This window comes from Homo sapiens, chromosome 12 (assembly GCF_000001405.40).
Source record: "Homo sapiens chromosome 12, GRCh38.p14 Primary Assembly".
Classification (NCBI taxonomy): Eukaryota; Metazoa; Chordata; class Mammalia; order Primates; family Hominidae; genus Homo; species Homo sapiens.
Window position 1 is genome coordinate 118,006,799 of NC_000012.12, and position 9,834 is coordinate 118,016,632.

The window sequence follows — 9,834 nt, forward strand, 5'->3', positions numbered from 1 at the left end:
TCCTGGGCAACAGAGTGAGATGCTATCACTAAACTTTAAAAATAATAATAATAATAATAAAAGAATTGAAGACCAAAAGCCTTTCTCCAAATTTTCTGGCCTATTTCCACAACCTCCTAGGCATCTTGAATGGCCCCAGGGAAGGGAAGAAACCCAACCCGTCATTCCCAACAGAATCAATTTCCAAAATACCTTAGCTTGAGAGGGCAACAGTGAAGGACATTAAGCCGGATACATTTAACTGAGAAAAACAATGAAATGTGAATTTTCTTGAGCCCCAGTATATGGAGCAAATTCATATGAGTTAACCCTTCCAATCTGAAAATTAGAATCAGATTCAGGACATGGTAAATAACCATCTATTAGTTACTTAATCAACACATGTTAGAGGATGATGAACAAGAGAAAGTTTCTGACAAGAGAAAGTAGTTGGGGGAAAGAGGACCTCAGGTCTTTGAGTCCTGATCAGTCAGTCTAGGGTTTTGCCGTGGTCATCGAAGACAATGGATTTTCCCGTTATACACACTCTTCAAATTGCCCTTTGAGATGTTTTTCTCCTTCAAGTCCTCCCTGTTTATTTAAACATGATTTCACCAGTATAAACACATTCAGGAGAAAGACCCAGTTTGATTTTCTTCTGCCAGCATCTTCCAAAGATAGCCTTGAATTCCATTCTCATAAGAAGAAGTCTTAAAAATAAACAAAGGCGGCCAGGCACGGTGGCTGTAATCCCAGCACTTTGGGAAGCCGAGGCGGGCAGATCACTCCAGGTCAGGAGTTCGAGACCAGCCTGGCCAACACGGTGAAACCTCATCTCTACTAAAAATACAAAAATTAGCCAGGTGTGGTGGTGGGCACCTGTAATTCCAACTACACGGGAGGCTGAGGCAGGAGAATTGCTTGAACCCGGGAGGCAGAGGTTGCAGGAAGCCAAGATTGCGCCACTGCACTCCAGCCTGGGTAACAGAGCAAGACTCTATCTCAAAAAAAAAAAACTAAATAAATAAAATAAACAAAGGCAGTAAGTGCTTTGTCCAAACCCAAGTTTCTTCCAAAGCTGAGAGTAGTGAAATCCTGGGCTCCCTTTCTCTAATCCAATACTAAGAGCAAATGCCTTGTGTTGGTAATTTTGCTTGTAATGTATGATCCTGCCATCTCCAGGACTTGATGTTTTATTAAACTGTTTCCAAATCTGATGGTGATTATATAAGAAAAGTTTGTACTTGTGCTCATTAATGTTACAATTCACACAGATATATCACCTTTACTTGCCAGTAATGCCCCAGAAGGGCTAAACCACAGGCAGAAGGGGAAAGTAAAAAGAAATGACTACATCTTTGCCTGATCATCTGTCCTGACAAATTGGAAGTCACAAAGTGATCCGTATAGTGTTTGTGCCTGGCCAGCAGTTTGTTTTTAATTAGTTGCCAACATTTAATATAGAAGGATTTCATATAAAATCCAAATTTCACCCAGGCACCATGGCTCACACCTGTAGTCATGATGCTTTGAGAGGCCAAAGCGGGCGGATTACTTGGGCTCAGGAGTTCAACACCAGCCTGGGAAACATAGCGAGACCCCATCTCTACCAAAAAAATTTTTTAATTAGCAGGGTGTGATGGTGCATGCCTATAGTCCCAGCCACTCAGGAGGCTGACGGGGGAGGATTGCTTGAGCCCAGGAGTTCAAGGCTTCAGTGAGCTAGGATTCCATCACCCCACTCCAGCCTGGGCCACAGAGACCCTGTCTCTAAAATAATAAATAGGCTTGGTGAGGTGGCTCATGCCTGTATTCCCAGCACTTTGGGAGCCCGAGGCAGGAGGACTGCTTGAATCCAGGAGTTCGAGACCAGTTTTGAGACCCTGTCTCAAAAATAAAATAAGATAAAATCCAAATTTCTGATTTTGCTTGAAAAATCCGAAGAACTGGCAACATTTGACTATAATCCCTCATGGCGGAATACTGGTGTGATAAACACCTGTGATACCTTTGGTCACCAGCTTTTGAACCCCTCTCCTTTATTCAAGGATGTCCCCAATTCACAAGTCTTGGTGGGAGGCAGATGTCATTTCCCACTGTTCGAACAATATACCCGATACTTACCAGCATGCACCAGGCTTGGCCAATTAAGCGTGTCTCCCAGGCTTATAAATGGGGTGCTAATTTTAGGAAGAATCCAGGACAAGAAAGAATTGTTGAATTATTTCTGGCAGTGGATGGTGAAAGCAAAATCCAGTTTCTAGGAACAGCGAGGGCGGTAGGGGCAGTGGTATTCCATGGTTGGCAGCAGCAACAGTTTCTTAACTGGCTGGATTTGGTGGAGTAATTTTGATCATGGTTTCAGTTGCACAGCCTGTCTGCCCCATTTTCCAAGCTCAGTACTCCAGCCTCGTATAATAGTGATTATATGGCCGGGTGCGGTGGCTCATGCATGTAATTCCAGCACTTTGTGAGGCCAAGGCGGGCGGATCCTCTGAAGTTAGGAGTTCAAGACCAGCCTGGCCAATGTGACAAAACCCCGTCACTACTAAAAATACAAATAAATAAAAAAATAAAAATAAAAATAAGAATTAGCTGGGTGTGGTGGCGGGCGTCTGTAGTCCCAGCTACCCAGGAAGCTGAGGCAGGAGAATTGCTTGAACCTGGGAGGCGGAGGTTGCAGTGAGCCGAGATCGCGCCACTGCACTCCAGCCTGGGTGACAGAGTGAGACTCCGTCTCAAAAAAAGTGCTTATACAAGCTATCCAACATTTCATTATTACATTCCCCATCTGCTTAAATCTTATATTTAAAACTTCAGCCCCTGGCCAGGTGCGGTGGCTCATGCCTGTATTCCCAACACTTTGGGAGGCCGAGGCGGGTGGATCACGAGGTCAGGAGATCAAGACCATCCTGGCTAACACGGTGAAACCCCGTCTCTACTAAAAATACAAAAAAATTAGCCGGGCGTGGTGGCGGGCGCCTGTAGTCCCAGCTACTCGGGAGGCTGAGGCAGGAGAATGGCGTGAACCCGGGAGGCGGAGCTTGCAGTGAGCCGAGATCGCGCCACTGCACTCTAGCCTGGGTGACAGAGCGAGACTCTGTCTCAAAAAAAAAAAAAAAAAAAAAAAAAAAAAAACTTCAACCCCCTTGAGGCACGCCATAGTTTCCACCCAACCCTCTAGAGTCCTTTATAGATTAACTTCCAGGCTACTTAGAGACATGTGAGTTTGCAACTCCAGTCTTTCTCTCTCTTTCTCTTTACAGTGAAAGCATTTTGGTACTTACAAAGTAAAGACTACCTAGTGCAAGAATCAGCAAAGTTATGAGAAAAAGCTTCCCGAAAGCCCCTCCCATCATTTCATCTTACATCAAAATTGGGCAGAACTGAGTCACATGCACATCTCTTAAGCCAATCACGAGCAAGAGGTCCAGGATGGCTGTGATTGGCTTTATTTAGCACAGTAGTTCCACTTTGGCTGAATATTATAATCACCTGAGAAGCCTCTTTAAAATGCCAGACCGGGTGCAGTGGCTCACACCTGTAATCCCAGCACTTTGGGAGGCCGAGGCAGGCGGATCACCTGAGGTCAGGAGTTCGAGACCAGCCTGATCAACATGGAGAAACCCTGTCTCTACTAAAAATGCAAAATTAGCCGGGCGTGGTGGTGCATGCCTGTAATCCCAACTACTCGGGAGGCTGAGGCAGGAGAATCGCTTGAACCTAGGAGGTGGAGGTTGCGGTGAGCCGAGATTGTGCCATTGCACTCCAGCCTGGGCAACAAGAGCAAAAACTCTGTCTCAAAAAAAAAAAAAAAAAAAAGAAAAATAAATAAAATGCCAGTGGAGGCTGGGCGTGGTGGCTCACTCCTGCAATCCCAGCAATTTGGGAGGCCGAGGTGGGCAGATCACCTGAGGTCAGGAGTTCAAGACCAGCCTGGCCAACATGGTGAAGCCCCAGCTCTACTAAAAATACAAAAAAATTAGCCATGCGTGGTAGCCGGCACCTATAATCCCAGCTATTCGGGAGGCTGAGGCAGGAGAATCACTTGAACCTGGGAGGCGTAGGTTGCAGTGAGCCGAGATCACTCCACTACACTCCAGCCTGGGAGACAGAGCAAGACTCCATCTCCAAAAATTAAATTAAAAATAAATAAATAAATAAATAAAATGTCAGCGGAGGGTCCCGCTTCCAGAGGCCAAGTTTAATTGGTCTTGCTGAACTTCTGATAATGGAATTTTTTAATAAAGTTCTCCAGGTGCTTTTAGTGTCAGCCTGGGCTAAAAGTCACTGAGCTAGTCCAGTCCCTACCCCTGCCCATTTTACAGATGTGAATACTGAGGTCCAAAGACAAGTTAAGTAACTTGCTCAAAGGGCTATATCTTTAATTAATAGCAAAAACAGAAATAAGCAAAACCACACACACAAATGACATCTAGTAGGAAAACTTGGCTAAGCGCTGTGGCTCATGCTTTTAATCTCAGCACTTTGGGAGGCCAAAGCAGGAGGATCCCTTGAGGGTAGGCGTTTGAGAGCAGCCCTGGCAATGCAGTGAGACTCCATCTCTACAAAAAAAAATTTTTTTTAAATCATAATAATACTAGAACAACTTTGTTTTTCCACAATAGACATGTGAGTACTGTTAAATAAAATTTATGGTATGAACCTGACAAGTTTTCAGAAAATAAAACTTAAAAATTAAATAAAACTTATGAGAGGCATTGTTTGGACTAAGTTCCTGCACTAGGCCTTGATAGACCAGACCAAACCAAAATGGAGTCACCTACGCTAACCGCCATGCAATCAAATGGAACTTTAAAATGGGCCAGTTTTCAACCGGGCACAGTGGCTTATGCCTGTAATCCCAGCACTTTGGGAGGCCAAGGCAGGTGGACCACTTAAGGCCAAGGCAGGTGAACCACAGGAGTTCAAGACCATTGTGGCCAACATGGTAAAACACCCACTCTACCAAATTACAAAAATTAGCTGGGTGAGGTGCCAGGCGCCTGTAATCCCAACTGCTAGGGAAGCTGAGGCAGGAGAATCACTTGAACCCAGGAGGCAGAGGCTTCAGTGAACCGAGGTTGCACCACTGCACTCCAGCCTGGATGACAAAGCAAGACTCCATCTCAAAAAAAAAAGAAAGAAAGAAAAAGGCCAGTATTCAAAAAACCAGATTTACAGCAACCAATCCAAAAGGGCCTAGTCAAGTTGAACAAGCATAACAATGTCTCCTCTGCTTTAATCTTATAAGGAAAGTAGCTTTGAAATGATCAGTTCACTTTCTAGCCTGTGTTTCTGCCTTCTTTAGTTCTTCTGCATACAAAACCCATCCCTTGCTCAGCTCGCTGGAGCACCTTTCTGTTTTACAGATGGGATGCTGCCCAATTCATGAATTGAAAATAAAAGATGGCTGGGCACGGTGGCTCATGCCTGTAATCTCAGCACTTTGGGAGGCTGAGGTGGGTGGATCAACGGAGGTCAGGAGTTTGAGACCAGCCTGCCCAATATGGGGAAACCCTGTGTCTACTAAAAATACAAAAAATTAGCCAGGCATGGTGGCAGGCACCTGTAGTCCCAGCTACTCAGGAGGCTGAGGCCGGAGAATCGCTTGAACCTGGGAGGCAGAAGTTGCAGTGAGCCAAGATTGCCCAACTGCACTCCAGCCTGGGCAACAAGAGTGAAACTCCATCTCAAAAAAAAAAAAAAAAAAAAAAAGCAGAAAATAACAGACAATGAGATCATTAAATTCAATTTGATAAAATTTTGTTTTTAGACAGCATCCATTGTGTTTCTTAGAAAGTGAAGTCCTGCGGCTGGGTGCAGTGGTTCATGCTTGTAATCCCAGTATGAGCCACTTTGGGAGGCAAAGGTGGGTGGATTATTTGAGCCCAGGTGTTCAAGACCAGCCTGGGAAACATGGCAAAACCCTGTCTCTACAAAAAATACAAAAACTAGCCGGGCGTTGTGGCATGCGCCCACATTCCCAGCTACTAGGGAGGCTGAGGCGAGAGGACCACTTGTGCCCTAGAGGTGGAGGTTGCAGTGAGCTGCGATAGTGTCACTGTACTCCAGCCTGGGTGACAGAGTGAGATCCCTCTCTCAAATAAATAAATAAATAGGAAATCAAATTCCTGGAGTGCTTGAGGACTGAGAAGCAGGGTAGTATAGTGATATGACTCTCAAACCTGAGCGATTCAGAATCCCCTCAAGGGCTTGTCACAACACAGATGGCTGGGCCCCAGCTGTGAAGTTTAAGATGTCTTGGGTTTGAGGTGGTGGGAAGAATAATTAGAATGTCTAACAAGTTCCCAGGGGCTGCTGTTGATGCTGTTGTCCCAGCATGGGCTATATAGAATCAGACTATATTAGCAAGATCCAGTTCTGCCCCTTACAAGTGAGAACCTAAGCAAGGTACCTAACATATCTGCAAAATGGGGCCAATGATAGTAACTTGGGCTTCTTGTAACAATTGAGTGATCATAATAAACGTAAAGTGCTTAGAACAGTGTCTCGGCCATAGAAACTGCCTAATGGATATGAGCCATTTTCATTCATTCATTCATCAAACAGTTATGAGTTGAGTACTTCCTTTGAGCCAGGCAATGTTTCAGGCCCCAGAAGTACAGTGGTGAGTAAGTCAAGGTTCTCCTCCAATGAGCTTACATTCCATTGGGAAGGCATACAATAGATGACTTTGCAACATATAATCTAATGTCAACACAGGAGAATTCTACATTCCAAGTTAACGGAACAGCAGATGCACACAGAGTTTTATGATAAGTTGTTCTGTTCTTTTTTGAATCTTCCAGCTCAAGGAGGTGGCAGCATCATGCTTCTAATGCAAAGGTCCTTAGAAGGATGGTTCTTACCATGAATGGCTCGTACCATGATGGTAAGGATGGCCTTAACCATCAATAAGGGCAGATTATGGCATAGTTCCACTAGCCAATCCTTTGGGTTTTGTTTCAGAGGACAAATTTGAAACCAGAACAGTTTGGGTGGAGAGTGTTAGGAGGGAAGGGAAGAGTAGGGTGGCGATGTATTGGATGCTGCACATTTGTTCTTTCATTTAATCCTTACAACAATCTTTGAGTAAATATTATTGGATAAGGAGAGAAGAAACCTGCCCAAGGCTAAGTGGAAAAAGTGGCATCCCACCCCAAGGGTACCTAATGCTTGGCAAGGAGCAAAACCACTGAAGGGAGAACAAATCATGAACAAAGAGAGAAGGATCCAGAGTCCACGTGGCCATCTTCAAAAGTTTGCCTTTGCCTTGCAACTTAAATTGCCTTTCTCATGAGAAGCAAAAACATTCAAATGCACCATTTTCCTGGCATGTAGGAATGCTTTGGTCTACATGTTCACTGCACTGATTCTAATAATTCTTTAGCCTTTATAATTCTTTTCATTCTCCTGGAACACTTGAGGATTTGGGGACTTGCTTAGGTTTCTCTCCATAGGCTGTGTAAAGATTTTTAGAGTTGAACTGATTCGAGGCAGGTCTTCTGACACCCAAAGCAATGCTTTCTTGATGACTTCTCCTTTAGTTTCAAAAGCCACTGTATTAGTCCATTTTCATACTGCTATAAAGAAATACCCAAGACTGGGTAATTTATAAAGGAAAGAGATTTAATTGACTCACAGTTCTACATGGCTGGGAAGGCCTCAGGAAACTTACAATCATGGTGGAAGGCGAAGGGGAAACAGGCACCTTCTTCACAAGGCGGCAGGAGAGAGAAGAAAGAGTGAAGTAGGAAGAGCTCTTTATCAAACCATCAGATCTTGTAAGAACTCACTGACTATCACAAGAACTGCATGGGGGAAACCGCTCCCATGATCCACTCACCTCTCTTCCTGGACACCTGGGGATTACAATTCAAGATGAGATTTGAGTGGAGAAACAGAGCCAAACCATATCAGCCACCCTTTAGGATTTTACCCCAGTGTGAAGCCTGCGTCTCAACAATTAGATCGTTGGTGAGGAGGGTATAGCACCATTTATTTCTTTAGTAATCTTTCATAATTTTGCTTAGTTATTGTATCAGTTGTTTTCTAAAATTGTATCAGCTGTTTTCCTTTATTTTTATACCCATCACTTGTATTTTATGCCTTTTAAAAAACAGAAGTGGGCTGGGTGTAGTGGCTCATGCCAATAATCCCAGCACTTTAAGAGGCCCAAGGCAGGCAGATCACTTGAGCCGGGGAGTTAGAGAGTGTAGTGAGCCGTGATTGTGCCACTGCACTCCAGCCTGGGTGACATAGTGAGACCTTCTCTCAAAAACGAAACAGAACAAAACCCCAGGAGTGTTCAAAGACCCCAGAATTTGGCAATACATGACAAATATTTAATGTGTTTCTATAACTTTAATTCAGAGGCATCTATATCTCACCTCAGCATGTGTCAGCAAATTAATTGTAAACATGTGCTGATTTTTAGCCTTAGTATTTAAGAAAAACTTGTTAATCATTTATGATTCCCTTCCTGGAGATAAAAATGAATAAAACCAGTTTTATCTTAAAAGAAAGAAAGAAAAGTTTAAAAATGGCATGCTAATGATCTAAGCCCCCAGTGTTAAAGTTTCCTGGGAGCAAGCAGAGTAGGGGCACTGTCACATCACAAGCCCTAGCTGATCCCCTTCTTCGGGGTCCCCAGGCAGGGGCTAGGGTGAAGCCATAACTGCCATCACATACTTGCCACTGTCCCTCTGCTGTGTTCCTGAAGCAGGTGACAGTGATGTAATCCTATGCAAAGAGTATTGCTACCTCCTAATCAGAACACTGCTGACCCCAGGCCAGCCTCAAAAATCCTCCAGGATTTTTGTCTTCCTCATCATGTTAAAAGAAAAAAAAAAAGAAAAGACTTCAATATGGATGCTTTGCATGCTCATTGCTGGAAAATACAGACCAGGCCAGGCGCAGTGGCTCACGCCTGTAATCCCAGCACTTTGGGAGGCTGAGGCGGGTGGATCACTTGAGGTCAGGAATTCGAGACCAGCCTATCCAACATGGCAAAATCCCATCTCTACTAAAAATACAAAAATTAGCCAGGCGTGGTGGCGCGCGCCTGTAATCCCAGCTTCTCCGGAGGTTGAGGCAGAGAATCGCTTGAACCCGGGAGGCAGAGGTTGCAGTGAGCCGAGATAGCGCCACTGCACTCCAGCCTGGGTGACAGAGCAAGACACCAAAAAAAAGAAAAGAAAATACAGACCAACAAAAAAGAAGAAAATAAAAGTGATCTAGAATTCTCCTCGCCTCAGGAAAAAAACCTAAAATGTTGATATCGATTCTCCTCAGTATCTCAGATCACAAGGACCTTGTCCTCTGTGTTCATGAACTAGACCTTCCAGCGACACAGATTAACCCAACTGGAAGTTTCTGTTTGTTTTTCTCTGGAGTCGTTTTCTGGAGGTTGGTTCCCTAAACTTTTTGGGCGAGGGGCACGGATTCCGGAGATAGGTAGGTTGCAGTTGTGTTTGTTTGGGGTTGTTTTCATTTCCAAATATTCACCTCCCAGCTTGGGGGCCGAGAGGTATCTCAAGCCTTCTTTCGCAAAGGCATCTATATTCAAGACCCAGCCGTTTTACTCGGTGTTGTTTTTTTTCTTAGATTTTTTTTTTTTTTTTTGAGCCCCGGCAGCTTTTGTTCCTTTGAATTTAAGTGTTTGAAGCTTGGCGATGGCAGGAATTGGCTTTGGCCTTGAGATCTTAATATGTAATGATGACTGGGGCTGCAGGGGGCCCTGCCTCTCCCGCTGCCCTGCTCTGGAAGCGCCTGGGTATCTGAGAGTTCAGAGCAGGCTGGAGGGGCGGAGCTTGGAGGGACGCTGGCGGCCCGCGCCTCCGGTAACCTAGC

The 9,834-nt window shown here is 44.6% G+C and overlaps 4 annotated features.

The window, feature by feature from the left end:
• Nucleotides 3,252-3,452: a silencer, noted in NCBI's record as "peak1990 fragment used in MPRA reporter construct". NCBI's record gives its function as "represses an SCP1 promoter by STARR-seq MPRAs in K562 erythroleukemia cells {active_cell/tissue: K562}" and the evidence as "EXISTENCE:reporter gene assay evidence [ECO:0000049][PMID:32103011]".
• Nucleotides 7,236-7,405: an enhancer, noted in NCBI's record as "experimental_24987 CRE fragment used in MPRA reporter constructs". NCBI's record gives its function as "activates a minimal promoter by MPRAs in K562 erythroleukemia cells, with activity observed for both the introgressed and non-introgressed 12:118451924 or rs79669344 variant alleles {active_cell/tissue: K562}" and the evidence as "EXISTENCE:reporter gene assay evidence [ECO:0000049][PMID:34662402]".
• Nucleotide 7,321: a transcriptional cis regulatory region, noted in NCBI's record as "Neanderthal adaptively introgressed variant 12:118451924 (GRCh37/hg19 assembly coordinates) or rs79669344 in the experimental_24987 CRE". NCBI's record gives its function as "modulates activity of the experimental_24987 enhancer by MPRAs in K562 erythroleukemia cells {active_cell/tissue: K562}" and the evidence as "EXISTENCE:reporter gene assay evidence [ECO:0000049][PMID:34662402]".
• Nucleotides 9,613-9,782: an enhancer, noted in NCBI's record as "experimental_24992 CRE fragment used in MPRA reporter constructs". NCBI's record gives its function as "activates a minimal promoter by MPRAs in K562 erythroleukemia cells, with activity observed for the non-introgressed 12:118454301 variant allele {active_cell/tissue: K562}" and the evidence as "EXISTENCE:reporter gene assay evidence [ECO:0000049][PMID:34662402]".